The sequence below is a fragment of the Homo sapiens genome, chromosome 18 (genome assembly GCF_000001405.40).
Source record: "Homo sapiens chromosome 18, GRCh38.p14 Primary Assembly".
NCBI lineage: Eukaryota > Metazoa > Chordata > Mammalia > Primates > Hominidae > Homo > Homo sapiens.
In genome coordinates, this window is record NC_000018.10 from 29,858,053 (window position 1) to 29,875,323 (window position 17,271).

The following is a 17,271-nucleotide window of genomic DNA, read 5'->3' on the forward strand; positions in this document are numbered from 1 at the left end:
TTACCCAATTTTACAGATAAGTTGAAGGTAAGTTATATTCAACATAATGCTCATGGGCAGAAGAGAAATTAAAATAATACTCTTAATGTAACTATTTTTTAATATAAGGGGAAAAATAACCTGTATGAGGCCTGAAAGATATGCCCTAACATCTAAACATACTTCTCTGTACTTCTGCTTACTCCTCAACTATGAAGCCACCTCCCATATTAAAAACCCCAAGATGCCACTTGTTCTCCCCTTTAATGAAATCTACCCGATGCTCCCCCATAGGTTTTAGTTTGAGTATCAGACTTATTCTTTCCTCAAGCTTCTTTCATCCAGTCAAACAATAAGACACTTAAATTTCCAGCAGTATATTTTATAATTGCAAGGCTTCTGCGGAACACAAGTGTGGATTTTAGCTCAAATTGCACATTTATTTGCATTCTGTTTGTTTGTGAGAGGTAAAGATGAAACTTTTCATCAATTCAAATCATCAAATTATAGAAAATTATTAATTAAAAGACACACATGCATGCACACACAAACACACCCACATTCACTCTCCCAAATATAAACATAGGTTCTCAAATTTACAATGTTGTTTAGAATTATATAGCAGTGTACATTGATTTTCACAGCTTCACCATGTGCTTGACAGAGATCATAATTATGTCATCTGTTATGCAGCACGGTAGTAGTTTGTACTTCTTTTTCTCCCTGGTTTTGTACTTTGAATGGTATTCTACAAATTAATAAGGGGCTCTTGGAAATAGGGCCACTTGCATGGCCAATCTGTTGTAAGCACAGGATGCAAGTAAACATCAATATTTTTGTTTCTCATGTTCATTATGTATGCATTACTTAACTTCATTCCCAGTCCCCTTGGACTTATGTGAGGTCAATGGTATTAGAGTTCTAGCCAATAAAATAAGAGTGGGAATAATGTACATTATGGCGCACTGCCTCACATCTGACCTTTCAAACATTTCACACCATCCTCCATGGTGTCTCTACCATTGCGTCCTGATAGATGTAGAGGATTCAATGGGAAAGTTCTGAAATCCCTAGCTTCCGACCTCCTAGGCAATGGTCTGAGAAATAAAGAAACAAACCTCGGATTGTGTATAAGCTTTTTCGATTTAGGGGATGAGTACTTTTTATTCTAGTTATTATTGGTTTGTTTTGCTGTTTTTTAGTTTTTGTTTTGTTTGTTTTTATAAATTGAACAGAAACAATTTTTAAACAAAGTATATTTCTTGTCATATCAAAAATAAGAGAAAATCCTGTTTTCTTTTGTTGTATCTCTTTCTCATATTTCCCTACTTTACTTGGAGTCATTTACTTTCTCAAGTGATCAGAGCCCTAGAAGTTCAACCCAAATACTTTCCTTTTATGAACATATGCTTCATTTAATATCTTTTGTTTTGTTGTTGTTTTATGAATTTTTTTAATCCATGCTATGTACTTAATTTTTTTGAATTGCTCTTTACTTACTAGGACCAGATAAATTAATTTACTTTAATGAAAAACAGTTCATTGGCATATTATGCTGCCCTGTAAGTAGCTTTCAGGAATTCAAGGAACTGATGATGAACAAAGACTTCAGAGAGGAGATGGTTTCATATTGTAGATGGGCATTTGTATATGCCTGGAATGAGAGGAAGTGAATAGTAAGAGAAGAATAGGGTCAGAAATCCAAGCTTAAAGAAAAAGCACACGCACAGGAAGGTATAAGAAACACTATGTAATTCAGCAGTTTGTAGCCTTAATTACTAATTTTTAGATCTGTAACATTTCTATTTCACAAATTATTAACCCAATGAATATATATCAATTAAATCTGGGCCTGGTGCAGTGGCTGATTCCTGTAATCCCAGCACTTTGGGAGGCTGAGGTGAGTGGGTTGCTTTGAGCTCAGGAGTTTGAGATCAGCCTGGACAACATGGCAAAACCCCATCATTCCAAAAAAAGAAAAAAAAATTAACCTGATGTTGGTGGCTTGTGCCTGTAGTCCCACCTACACAGGAGGCTGAGGCTGAAGAATCGCTTGAGCATGAGAAGCAGAGGTTGCAGTGATCCAAGATCACACCGGTTTACTCCAGCCTGGGTGAAAGAGTAAGACGCTGTCTCAAAAAAATAAAAATAAAATAAAATAACAAAAATGAAACCTGTGGAAAACTTATTAATTCTCTCTGTATAATAATCTCCATAAATACATTAAAAATATCATTAAGTTAAATTAAATTAAAAATGTTGATCTCTATAATATCAACAGTATTTAATTTTCTTAATAGCAATATGCCAAATATCTTACATTTATTTGCCTTTTTAAATATATAGGATATATATAGGATTTAAATATATAGGATGATATGGATTACCCTAATAAACTTGTTTCAGAATATTTTGGTCATTATTAGTTGCAACTGTTTCAGATGTTTATATATTTTCAGCTAAAAATTCATTCCCAGGTACAATATACCTATATAATATTAAGTTGAGATGTTCCCTATAGTTTATCTGGCTCTTTCATTATGGTGCTTCTGTACATCTTTAATTGTTTCAGCTCATTATTGTTAAGCTTGACACAAAATGGTGTTAGGTAGTGTCAGACAAATAGGTAGATCTATATATACATTATATATTTATTTTGCTTCCTGACAAACATCTTACTATTTCCATTGATTTTCAATATCAAAAGCAAAGTACAGCCAACCTTGCATTAAGTTTACTTTCTAAATACTTTCTGGACTGACTTTTATAGTAACAATCTTAAAATAAAACATCACTGAGTTAGAAAGCAGATGTAATTATCTAATAATTAATATAGTGGTTTTTGTCTCAGCTATGTCCTAGAGAGGTATTTGTGTTTTCAACACAGGTCTTATTATTTAGAAATATTCAAGGTTGCTATTAAACTGTAAAAAGGAATTCAATTGGGTACTCATGTTTGATCTTAGCAAGGCAGTATATTTTTTAAAATACTTCTCACTGTCATTTTAGTCATTTTTACTTATTAATAAAATAGTCCAATAATTTAAAAGGCATTCTGAAAGGCTTCTTAACAAAACTCGATTAGTTTCTAATGTAATTTAATTTGATTTAATATAAGCATTCTGGTTTTTCATAAGTATTCAATTATGCAGTACAAAATATATATGGCATAATGGGAATTTATATTTGAAAGGGAGTTCAGTTTTGTGTTCTAGGTGAAATTATGCTCATGACAATAAATTTAGCACTGATATTGAGACTAACAATTTTTTCATTTCAATTGTTCTACTAGGGCTTATGTTTCTTGTTTCTAATTTGTAATAAAATCAGAATAAAATCAGAACTGAGTTTTCTCAAATATATTTAGAGATAATCATAAATAGAATGGCAGTTTATATTAGGTATAGATATGAGAAACAAAGTGGCATTTTCTTCAAGTCATTTAAGATAAAATGGCAATAATTGGTATTTCAATAAAACCTCATTTTCCTAAATACATTTATTCGACAATTTCTCCATTTTAGGCTGAAGCCATGTGTAGACAATAATGGAAAAAAATACATTTATTTGGCCAAAATGATGTTATACCATTCATGTATAAAACTTATTAGCTGTGGTCAGAGAATACTTTAGGCTTTATGGAGGGCTAATTCTCTTTATAATTTGTCACGTTTTCTATTTAATTTTTTGTCCATAGAAGATTAGACATATTGTGATTAACAAAATGAATGACATTGTTATAACAACATTTCATAAGAGGTAGCCAATAACTTCTAGAAGAAAAATAACATAAAGGAGTCTTTGGAATAATAGTTACAGCCCTGATGTTTAAGTAACTTGACTAAGCCATAATTCATGTGAAAAAGATTAGAGATTTTTAAATAAAATCACTGTCCATGTTAGGAAATAGTTTGACATTATTTCTAAAGAATAACTGCAACATTAAGCACTGTCATTGTTAGGACATGCTTGTTAAGGAGGGTAACTAATTAAACAGATATTGTAGAGCAGCGCTCCTGAATCAGTCAGTCTGAGCTAAGACTGGAGTTTCTAGCTGGTACCAATAATCCATCATGGATCACATATTGGGAGTCAAGGATCTGAAATCCTTCCAGAACGATGTGTTTTATCCCATGTGTAATTATTTAAGAGTATTGTTAGCTAACTCAATTATATTTAAAAATGTAATCTTGTTTCTTGAAAATACATCGTTTCAAGAAAAAAAAAGTAACTGAGGAATGAAAGAATTGAGACAGACATACATAACACGGAGGAGGAGAAGGTGTAGCCACTTCCCTGATGATTTGAGCAACTGCCATTTGTTTCTCCAAAGATTCTACTTAAATGAGAGCTTGCTAACAGTTAGAACTGTCTAAAATAAAATGGACTTCCTGCCAAAGCAGGTGCCTCCTGGTAGCTAAGCATATTCTCCACAGAATGGCTAATCATCTGGGGATTCCTGCAGTAGTCTAATTTAGGAGATAGTCTTAAAACTCACCTGTATTTTCATCCTGTTATTCAGCTGTTAGGTTCTTATTTTTCTTAAAGCTCTTAGAATCTTGGGGAAAGAGTATCATCTTCAAATAATAGACCATGATTCTTTGGATAAAGGGAATATATGTGGACATGTAGTTGAAGTTACCCAGTACAAATCACATGCCGCTGGAGGATATTAATCAGAGATAATATTTTAGCATTTATTTTGTCCAGGCATTGTGCAATACCATGTACATGCATGTTTGTCAGCTATCTCTCACAACAAACTAATGAGATATTTTCCCTGCTTACAGTTGAGGAAGGGCAGACTAAGTTATAAAATTAGCTTGACTTGGAATATACACTTCGTATATAGTAGAGACTAGATTCAAACCCAGTCTGTGTAATTAAAGAATTTAAATTCTTAACCACTGCTTCTCACTGGGGAGGATAAAAGGAGAACAATCCAGTAAATTAGGATGAATGCTGCCCTTTATCCTGCTGATAAAGTCCTCTTGAACTTCAAATGATCACATGCTGCTCTCCTGGCAGGACCTTGCACTGAAGAATCAGGAAGTTTCTAACTCAATGTTGAGTTGTATAATTATGTAGCATCTAAATGGATAGTACATCACTTCAGTTTAGGTGATTCTCTCTTATTAAAGTCTGTAGGAGTTCATGACTGATTCCTATCATTATGTAAAATAAAAATCTTAGTTTTTGTTTTGGTGAAAGTAACACAGTATCCATATTTTTATAAACTTTACCAAATACCCTTCTTTTCAAAGAAACTTTAGTTCAATGAAGAAAAGGTATGCTTTTAAGTGTCAAGAATAAATTTTATTATTAATTGACATTAATGAGGTATATTGTTAATAACATTTTAGTTTTCTCATCTTGCAGAAAAGCCTTCTGCCACTGTTTTTCACAGTGCACTTCTGAGTAACATTTAAGGAGGTAGACTGAACAAAATATTCAAAGTCCTAAACAGAAATTCAGAAAACATTTAATTATATAAAATAATAATAATAAGAAAGCATATATTTAAGCTTGGAAAGGGCAGCTTAAAATAAAGTCAAGCAGAAAAAATATCGTCCATTTAACTTACATAAGAAAAGGCATAGCTTTCTGATAAACTCTTGAGGATTAAAATACGTAATTGCTGGCTGGGCGTGGTGGCTCACACCTGTAATCCCAGCACTTTGGGAGGCCGAGGCAGGCAGATCAGGAGGTCAGGAAATTGAGACCATCCTGGCCAACATGGTGAAACCCCATCTCTACTAAATATACGAAAAAATTAGCTGGCCACGGTGGTGCACGCCTGTAGTCCCAGCTACTAGGGAGGCTGAGGCAGGGGAATTGCTTGAATCTGGGAGGCAGAGGTTACAGTGAGCCAAGATTGCACCACTGCACTCCAGCCTGGAGACAGAGCAAGACTCCATTTCAAATAAAAAAACAAAAACAAAAACATAATTACCTTATTAACAGCGAGAAAAGAATAAAGAAATGAGCATAATACTTTTATACCCATAACAATGTTAATTATGTTAAAAAAGAAAGAATGAATGTGAAAAATAATAAATTAATACCAGTTATTGAATTAATTAGTAGGATATCTAATAGCTCTTCTTTTGTGTTGTATGTCTAATAATATGATTGATGAAAAAGATGATTTTTTATTAAAGGATATATTCTACTTTATTAATATCTATTTTACTTAAAATGTGATTCATCTTTCTTTTATTTTCCCTTTCTCTTTTTATTATAAAATATTTAAATAAATTATTTATTTAGTCAATATTTAAAAGGCACAAAAAATGGTGAAAGCCCAGGGAATTAATGCTAGACAGGTAGATCAACATATATCTACAGAGAAGACTATAATTAAGAAACCAAGTATTTAAAAAATATCCTTACTCTTTTTTACAACGGCCTAGCTTTTTTTTTCATTACAGATTATAAAGACAGAAAGGATCTTGGAGGTAAATGAGCCCCAACTTTCTCATTTACAGAATGAGGAAGTGAAGGCCAAAGGTATAAAACTGATTTGTGCAAAAGAAATGACATGATTTTGAACTTCTGATTTTAACCTCCATGTTCTTTCTAGCATGCCATTAATATTTGACATGTGTTTTCTGCATGTAATGGTAGAAGTTCTTACAAATTTCAACATTGTCTCTTTGAATAAGTGAAAACAAAATCAAAATATGGGTAGCAAAACAGTAATGGAAAACACATTATTCTATATTAATGAAAAAGAGTTTACAGGGTGATTAAATGAGCCACACAAATTATAAAGATGTAGTTATTTGATTAGTATTGTCGCCATGCACAGTGGTTTTGCCATCTGGGCTCAAATTTTATGTCTACAAAGCAATAATAATAGGTACTGCCTACTTCAGTGAATTGTAGTAATGATTAAAAGACTGCCTGTGAATGTTATTTATAAACTATTTAGATCGATATGTCGATGTAAGTTATAAGAAATCAAGTTCTGTAGACATCTTACATTACAGGTGAAAAAAATGAAGAATTTATAAGAATTAAGGAATTGTCCAAGACCATAGAAATATACAAGAGCAGAATCAATAATCAGTTTATTGTCACCTATCACTTTCCATTTATGTCTTAATAGTGTTGTTCAGCTATCATTCTTTTCAGTGTCTTCTTCCAGGGAATTTTACTAGGAAAAAATTAATCTTTAGGCAGATATTATCATGCATTATAAATCATTACATTCCAATTCTTTTATGTGTTATCTTTTGTATTTTTCTTCTAAAATTGAAGTGCCACGTTCTTGCAAGGAATAACATAGCTAAGCTATATTAGTTTCAATGTGGAAGAATGATACATTGTTTTGCACTTAATAGATTTATTTCATTTACCACTTAATGTTTAGTGTCTTTAAGATTAACATAGGCCGGGCGCAGTGGCTCACGCCTGTAATCCTAGCACTTTGCCAGGCCGAGGCAGGCGGATCACGAGGTCAGGAGATCAAGACCATCCTGGCTAACACGTTGAAACTCCGTCTCTACTAAAAATACAAAAAAATAGCCGGGCGTGGCGGTGGGCACCTGTAATCCCAGCTACTCGAGAGGTTGAGGCAGGAGAATGGCGTGAACCCGGGAGACGGAGCTTGCAGTGAGCCAGGATCGCGCCACTGCACTCCAGCCTGGGCGACAGGGCAAGACTCCGTCTCAAAAAAAAAAAAAAAAAAAAAAAAAAAAGATTAACATAAATAATTTTTTAACCAATTATAAGTCCCTTTTAGACATCAGGACAGTATTAACCTACAAGCTATATATATTTTCACATACTTACAGCACTTCTCTTTTTAGAGGTAAGATGACTCTGATTAATCATTTTAGGAGTAGGGCACTACTAATCTTATATGTGCGACAATCTAATATGGCATATGCTTGCATGGGTGATTAGCTAAAAATTATTTATGCACTATTACATAATTTAAGTACATAAAATATATGTTAATGGAGTTGTGTGCGACTGCATCTAAAATCTTTAAAAAGTAAAGCAATAATGAGTCATTCAAGTAATAGTAAAATATATACACATAAACTATTGGAGATTACTGATTCTTCAGAGAGATAAACGTCTATCAAAATAAAAAATAAATTATTGTACAGGATGAAATGATATATAATTAACCAAATCTGTCTTGTCACATATAGTCTCCAAAAAGACTGAAAGTAAAGTAAGACAGACTACCAAACTCAGGGCAATTAGTGGTCCCTCAGAAAAATTTTTTAAGATAGATTTTGATTTGATTCCACTTATATTGCTGCTTGCATTTCATTATCTAAATACAACTGCTCTCAATATTTTTCATTGAAAGATGAGCCATCCACATTTGAATTTTAATACTAAATCAAATCCAATGCCAAAATTGATTTATTTGTTAAATGCAGTCATGAAGTAACCTGCTCCAGATTTATTCAGATATACCCAGAATCCAAACCCTATCTTTACACTTGATATGTTTCTTTATTAAGAGAATATATATAATTTTTCAAAATAGGCAAGAGGTAGATTTTAGTTAAATTTTACTCTTTTCAGGTTCTTGCAATATCTAGCTTTTTACTACTTGAAGATTTTTTTTTAAATGTAGCTCACTGCTATTTAAAATAAAATTACTGTACAACTATAGAGAGAGAAAGTAGATTACTGTTCATTTAAGGCTGAAGGGAGAGTTGGGGAGAAATAAGAGTGACTGGTACAAAATACAGGGTTTCATTTTTTGAGTGATAAAGGTTCTAAATTGATTGTGGTGCTGGTTGCATAACTCCCTGAATATAGTAAAAACAATTGAATTGTACATTTTAAATGCATGAACTGTATGGTATATAAATTATATCTTAGTAAAGCAGTTAAAATTTTAGCCTACAAAATAAAAAGAGAAAAATTATACTTTTACTTTTCAATAGTTAATTTAATAATTACCATGAATGAAACAATTCTATAAGAATGGTTTGATAATTCCAAATTTTGAGCATATTCGATTATCATGGCTTATGGGTTACGTTTCCAAGCATTTACCAATGTGGGTCAAGTTTATAAGGTTTATTTCAAATGATCACAGTTTTTGACCAAAGTCTATATTCTTGTTTAAGACTCAAGGGAGAAATATCATTATATTGAAATAATACCTTCTTGTCTAAGACTCCCAATAGGGAAAAATTACTATCGTATTGAGAAACTATTGACTACTTTCTCGTGCCAAGGATTTACTCCTCTGTTCAAAGTGTTTTTAAGTGATCATTGCTACATTTATTGTTGATATATTGTAAATTCTTTTTCATATATACTCAACTGTCTAATTCTCATCATACCCTATAGGATATATGATGTAATTATTCCCATATTATAGATTATTAAATTATGGCAAAGAGAAGGTAGGTAGCTTGATCAGTTGCAATATTAGGACTTACGTCCGAGAGTTTCAACTATAACCTGAATCAGACTCTAGAAATTCAGATTTCAAGTATTATGCATTATGGCTAGTTAATATTTGTAAACATAAACAAGAGTTCTTGATGGCGTGGCTGGGTAAGGTTGTATCCATATTTATTATGAAAACCAAAATAATTTCATAGCAAGTCATAAATAAGTTGGCGCAACATTGTAAATATCCTTTTGATGTTAGAGGTTTATTATAGTGGTGGTAATAGGGCTCTATTATATTGGTAGTGATAAAAATGCCTAACATTTATATAATATTTGATCTATGAAAGAACACAATAGAAAATTATAATTTCCATATTAATGTTAAGTATGTTGAGATATAAATGTATAAAGTAACTCAAGGACAGTCATGCAGCTAGATACTAGAAGAGGCCAACTATTCTTAACATAAAAGATTTACATAATATTTCTGGAGAGTCAGAAAGAAAGATTATATAAAATGTTAAATGATCTCCTGCAAGGAATTCAGACATTTTAGTTTTGTAGGTATATTAATTCAAAACAATAACTTTTTAACTCTCTGCCCCTAATAAGCTCCTCCTAACTTTCCCACCATGAAAATCATTGTTTAAAGGCATGTAGGTGTGCCTAGGCACGGGCTTATTGACAAGTAGATCAATTAACTATAGGAAATTGTATCAAATATAGTATTAAGCACTATGTATGGGTATTTTACGGAGTTCAAGTCACATGAAAGCCTAATTTTATTTTTGGTTAGAAATTCCAAAAGCATCTCTAATTTTTTGCATCTCAGGTACGTAATCCACATTATAGTAGAAGTCAATCACTCTGTAATCAGAAAAACATGTGAAATAAAATAAAAGATGTACATTTCACTACCCAGCTTAATCAATAGGGGGTGGTGTGTGGGTATATGTATCTAGGGAAAAACAGGGCAAAATACATTCTCAGTAGATCTGGGCTTAATATTAACGCTACTTTTCAAAACCTTAAAACATAAACAAGTATAAATATTTGAACCTAATGTCTCAGACACTTTCCTGTTTTTTGCTAGTCCTTTAAAGTTGATTTTCTAGAAAGATGTGTTTATACACCCATTAATTTTTACAGCCACACTCAATAACAAACCCACTCCAATATGGCACCTGCCACCATTCAATAAGAATAGTTTTCACTATGTTCAATGACTTGCATGTTCACAGGTCCATGAACATTTCAGAACTCGTCTCACTTGATTTTTCAGAGCCATTTACAAAATTGACCCTTTTTCACATTGACTGTCTTCCTGTGGTCTCTATGATGGCGTATCTTCTTTCTGTGGGTACTTCTATGAGCTCATCTTCTTTCTTACTTTGGGCTTTTAATTTTCCTATACCTATTAACTAAACTATTTCCTCAAGATTACATATTTCTCTCCTTTCACTGTATATTCTATCACCAATACTTTTTCTATATTTTACAAAAGAAATAACATGCACATACACACATATATATACATATGATAGAAAACGAATACTAATAGATTGAAAATAGAGGTTATTTGACCCCCCTCAAAAAAAAACCAGGATGGCAACTTGTGGAATATTGGAATATTAATCTCTGAAAATTTAAGTGTATTTAAAAGCAATAACATTGGCAAAATCGCCAAAAATCATTTTTTAAATTTAGAAATTAACAAAAAGCTATGACCATGTAAGAAAGTTTATTCAAGAATAATTGCTGAATCTGGTAAGGAGAGTAAATGTTATTATATTTTTACCTTTTCTAATCCCATCACTCTCTCTCTAGCTCCAAAGAAGCGTTGAAAACCAACAACCTCTCCACTATATTAGCAGTCATATCAAGCAATCTATCAGTCACTGGAGGAGAAATAATAAGTTTGTAGCTACCCAAAAGTTTCATTACTAGAGAACTGGCTAATTTGACCAAGAAACAAGAAAAAAAGATCCAACTACTAAAATCTGAAATAAGTGGGAAGGCATTCCTGCTAACCTATAAAAATGCAAAGAATTATAAGGGAATACCGAAAACATTATAGAAAAAAATCAAAAGAATACACACAAATACAGCTATATCTCAATAACATGTTCAATATAGTTGAAGGATTCTGGAGCAACATTGTGAATAAGTTGCCTTGTAGACACTAAAAATTAACAATGCAAGACCAGATTGAAAGCAATTCCATTTGCAAAAGATATCAAAGCATTCAAAACAAGAATACATTTAACATGATAAGTGCAAGGCTTGTAAACTGAAAACTGCATTAAAGGTAATTTTCAAAGACCTAAATAAATGGACAAATTTTTCGCATTCATGAATTGGAAACTTAATGTTGGTAAGATGGCAATATTTCTAAACCAATTTAATGATTCAACACATACCCTATCAAAATCTCAGCTGCAATGTTTTTGGAGAAACAAGCAAGTTGTTCCTAATATTCATATGGAAATGAAAGGAATCCAGAATAAACCAAACAATGTTGAAAATAATAACAAAAGTTGGAGGACTCAAATTGCTTCATTTAATGTTATTACATACCTATGGTGATCAAGATACTGTGGTGCTGCTATAAAGATCAAAATATAAATTAATAAAGAAAATTACTACAAAATGAACTCCAGACAACCAAAATACAGAGATTTTGACATAAGAAATGGTGATGAGCAATACATATATGCTTACTTTTACAACTAAGATTAAATGAGGATTTATAGAATGGCAATATGCTGTATAATGGCCATTTGATCTGACAATGTAGATATAGCACACAAACAAAAGAGAGATGGAAATAGCACACGTAAGACATTATTTTTCTTTCCATCAGTAAAATTAGTGGTGGCAACAACAGTATTGTTACATTGTGAGTGTTGTCCATGTAAATTTGCATACAACAAATGAGTACTTAAGAAACGTTATTATGATGTCCCTTTTGCTATTAAAAACTAAAATTTTTAGTATGGGAAAAGAAGATAGAGATGTAATACACAGGAGATTAAGTATACATCCTGAAATTTCAAAATTGATAAATATCAGCATGATTAATGTATGTTATTAGCTATCATTTTTTTTTCTAGCTTCTCCACTTAAAATGTCTAGAAATAGCCACTCTACCAATTAGCAAGTAGTAATGAGGAAGCCTAGTGAAAAGGTTTTTATCTTGCCAAAAAGATTTGTTTCTCCCATTGACTCTGCTATTGTAAAATATACAACTACTTCTTTACTTTCTGCTTCTAAACCTTATGCAATTTGTCTCGTGTGGCTAATGCTAACTTCTAACTACACAGGGAAGAGAATTACCACAATAGAAATCCATCCCATACAATGCCTATTGATGTGTATGTGGTTGATAACGTCAAAAACATTGTATGGAAGTAATCAATATAAAAGTCAGGACAGTGGTTATTTGTAGAAGAGAGGAGACCACTAAGATTGAAAGAGTGTAAATAGATATTTTTGGGGTACGTAGCAAAGTTCTATCTTGACTTAGGTGGTCATTGTACAGTGTTTTTGCCTAATAATATTGTTCAGTAATCTATATATTTGCCTTTTATGGTTTTATATATCTATATTTTATTTTACAATAAAATGATCTTTTTAAAAGACATGAAGATAAATATATTTTTGAGATACCTGTGGGATATTCAAGGACAGATGCATAAAGTTAGTTTTGTATATATTTCAAGTTCAGGAAGGAGATTAGAGTTAGAAATAGAGATTTGTTTGCCATCATAGGAGAGTGAAAAAAGCAAGAAGAGAATAGTGCTAAGGCCAGAGCCATAGGACAGCCAAAGGGAGGCACTGAGAATAATACTGAAATATGGAATAAAAAAAAAGACATAAGATAATAAGCTGAAGATGCTATTTATGGTGATCTATACACTAACTAGTTACTGTCATATGAAATGTTACAGAAAAGTGATTTCTGAAGCAATTGTTCCCCTTGCCAGGCTGAGAATGCATAGTAAAGAAACAGTGACATGTACCAGCTGACAACACGCTCTCTAGCAGCCCGCAGGCTCTTCCTGCTGTAAACATTCATAATAAATGTCATGTCCTTACAAAAAGTGTTGGCAATGATCTCTTGTCTTCTTTAGGGTGTAAAACTTAATATGTTGGCAGAACTTTCATGTTACTCTTGTAATATAACCAGATTCTTTTTATAATTCATCAAGATGAGAAGAAGCTGTGGCATGAATTGGGCAAGGTTTTGTTAGTTTCTGCAATGCCTAGAAAAGCATATATTTTTACATGATTGTTTTGAATTTTCATATTATTCATTCTTAAAACAATGCAATATTTATTATTTTAGAAATATTTTGGTTCTTTTTGGTGTCCATGTATTAATTCTAATTGAGTCCCTGAAAAGCAACACTAAATTTCAATCTTGTTATAAACTGTTCTGTGAAGATATACATTTATTCACTCCAAAAGCAAGGAATTTATTTTATTACAATCAAATGTTTAGTTTGAAAATCTGAGAAACATCACAGTTAACTAAAACATCTATTCTAAAAATAATTTCCATTTAGTAAACCTAGGTGGAACACTTCAAATAAAACTGAAGTGCTCTTGAATGTATCCATCATATGCTTAAAAAATGTTACAGGCTTGAAAATGTTAAGAATGATGAGTGCAAGATAATTGAGTACAGGATTATATGAAACCAAAGCTCATATAACCCTTTGCAGCCATGGTAGCTTAGTGGGAAAATCTTGCTTCTTAAGTCAAGTGGAATTTCTTCATTGTAATGGACTATAATCAGAAGCAATGATGAATCTTTAAATGAAGATGTGGTATTCCGTAACACATGAGCCAAACACAGCTATTGCTCTGAAAAGATAAAGTTATATCATAGCAATCATAATAAGCCAATGTCTTACATGGTAAGAAGGCAGGAGTATATTGTGTTTTACATACATTCATCCAGGTACGCTACATTCTAAAATAGCACATAAAGAAAGAAGTCTATTATCAAACCACTTTTGAAATAATTTTTCAGGCCAATTTTATATTCTTAAAACTAATTATCAAAGTCAACTATAACTTTTCCCATTCATGAAAAAGACATAACAGGAAGAAAAGAGTTCCCCTATAAAACACCACCACCTGACATCTGCTATCCAGTATAGACTAAGATGTATTGTAATGTTGGATACAGTGAGTTCCTCTTCAAAGTTCCACTTGTTCCACTCCCTCGCTCTTTGTCCTCTATTTTCAAAGCCCAACTTCCTTGCCTCCTTGCCCCTAGTTATGGTAAACAACCTTCCAGCTGTTCCCAATCTGTAACCCACATCCATTCCCAATCTGTAACCCACATCCATTCCCAATCTCTAACCCACATCCATTCCCAATCTCTAACCCACATCCATTCCCAATCTGTAACCCACATCCATTCCCAATCTGTAACCCACATCCATTCCCAATCTGTAACCCACATCCATTCCCAATCTCTAACCCACATCCATTCCAAATCTGTAACTCACATCCATTCCCAGTCTGTAACCCACATCCATTCCCAATCTGTAACAACTCACATCTGTTCCTTATTTGGCACCCTTAGTTCCAAAACTGCTCTTCCTGCCACTGCAGCCCCATCCCTACTCCATTTGAAGTAGCCATTTGAGGTCAGCTTAGATTGTGCAGTCCGACTCCAGCCAATGGGGACCAGACACAGTAGCAAGGACTAACTGCATTAGGGATAAAAACCCCTTCCCTCCTTACTTCAGTGTGCTCTCACAGTGACCAGAAAAGTGAGCAGCACCCTTCTACAGAAGTAAATTTGCCTAGGTGCGAAATCTTTTGTTCGAGCGCTTGTTTACTTTGTGACTCCGAGCTCTTATTTCCAACAATTTGGGGGCTCATCTGGGATTCCCATTCTCCTCCAGGGAAAGGTTTCCAGTCCCCTCTCATGAGAAGATGCATCTCACTGCCTTGTTGCAGTGGCCTCAGGGTAAGGAATTGGGACCCACCCAGTGTGACAAATAAACCTGGACTCTCAGCAATGCAGGCAGAAAGGATCCTCACATACCGCGGCGACCAGGTAACTCTCTGTGCAGACCAAGGTAAGAAACATCAGGGGGGCAACAAAGTATTTCCTTGGTGGTCGGGATAAAGGCAAGAAATCTCCAATAAGAGGGGTTGAGCCTTTAGAGAAGGGAAAGGTAGGAAATCTCTAGGGTGAGGGATTGAGCCTCAGGTCAAATCTCTAGGGTGGGAAATACCCCAAGACTCCTTTATCCCCTGAAAACTACAGGTGTATGGGATCCCCTAGAACGCCTTTGCCCACTTAATACCCCTGATCCTAACCTCCCACCGCATCAGGGAGGCAGCTGCTGCTGCCCCAGACCCCACCCCAGATCCTTCCCTTACTCATGTTATTCCTCCTCCTTACAACCCTGACTCTTGGGAATTATTGTCTCATGAGCCTGCTCATTACCACCTAAGTACCCTTCCTTAAAAGGACTTAAATGTGAGGTAGAGCAATGTAAAAAGGATATTCAGAGCTTCCCTTTCCCTTCTACCTCTAAGGAATCAGCTCCCACCCTCTTCCCGTTAAGAGAGGTGCCCCTAGGACGGGGAGCCATTGGCTTCACGAATTTCCCCTTAACGAGCTTGGAAGTTCAAAATTTGAAAAAAGAACTCAAGCCACTGTTAGATGACCCTTATGGAGTGGTGGATCTAATTGTCCAATCCAGTTGCATACTTGAGCCTAGTTAACGTCCATCCTGGACATCCTCTTCTCAGGGGAAGAAAGGAGCATGATTCATAGGGCTGCTATGGTAATTTGGGAACGTGAACATTCTCCTGGTCAAAACGTTCTCTCCACAGACCAAAAATTCCCCACCTAAGACCACTGAAGGGACAATAACAATGCAGCTCACCAGGAAAATAGGCAAGACCTTAGGGAAATGATAATAAAAGGAATTTGGGAATCAGTACCCCAAACACAAAATCTTTCCTGAGCATTCAACATACAACAAAGGAAAGATGAAGGGCCTATGGGATTCTTAGACTGACTAAAAGAGCAAATGAGAAAATATGTGGGCCTAGATTTAGAAGATCCCCTTGAGCAGGGAATGCTAAAGCTTCATTTTGTCACTAATAGTTGGGCAGACATCTCAAGGAAATTACAAAAAATAAAGAATTGGAAAGATCATCCTGTGAACTAACTCCTTAGAGAAGCTCAGAAAGTATACATAAGGAGGGATGAAGAGAAGCAAAAACAAAAAGCAAAAATTATGTTATCCACCTTCCAGCAGGGGGCTCCAAAGGATAAGGTCCACCAAAATTACTCTCCATGGGCCTCCTTAACCATTTAAGAGAAAAAGGGCTACAGGTTTCAAAGGGAAAGCTCTAATTTGTAGAGCCTGGAGTTAAATACTTAGGGCACTCAATAAGTAAAGGCAAATGAATAATAGGACCTGAGCGAGTTGAAGGAATTGTGTTCTTGCCTTTGCCTAAAACGAAGCAGGAACTCAGGAGTTTTTTAGGATTAACTGGATATTGCCACTTATGGATTGACTCATATGCCCCAAAGACAAAATCCCGTACTTAAAGCTTACCCAAGAAAAACATGACCCTCTCCTGTGGACTTCTGAAGAGATCCACCAGGTTGAAGAACTAAAAGAGCAGCTCATAACTGCCCCTGTCTTAGCCCTTAGCCTTACCTTCCTAGAAAAGCTGTTTCACCTTTTCATTAATGTAAACAAGTGGGTAGCTTAAGGGTACTTTCCCAAGAACATGGGGGGCCACTGGCAACCTGTAGCCTTTCTATCAAAGGTTTTAGACCCAGTAATCTGTGGATGGCCCGAATGTGTTCAACCTATTGCAGTCACCGCCTTATTAACTGAAGAAAGCAGAAAGCTAACCTTTGGG

General features: G+C 34.2%; 2 annotated features.

The window, feature by feature from the left end:
- Positions 4,589-5,319: an enhancer, noted in NCBI's record as "OCT4-NANOG hESC enhancer chr18:27442606-27443336 (GRCh37/hg19 assembly coordinates)". NCBI's record gives its function as "activates a minimal SCP1, AML or CMV promoter by ChIP-STARR-seq in primed H9 embryonic stem cells {active_cell/tissue: H9 hESC(primed)}" and the evidence as "EXISTENCE:reporter gene assay evidence [ECO:0000049][PMID:30033119]".
- Positions 15,071-16,270: an enhancer, noted in NCBI's record as "CDK7 strongly-dependent group 2 enhancer chr18:27453088-27454287 (GRCh37/hg19 assembly coordinates)". NCBI's record gives its function as "activates an origin of replication core promoter dependent on BRD2, BRD4, P300/CBP, MED14 and CDK7 cofactors, with strong dependence on CDK7, by STARR-seq in HCT116 cells {active_cell/tissue: HCT116}" and the evidence as "EXISTENCE:reporter gene assay evidence [ECO:0000049][PMID:35650434]".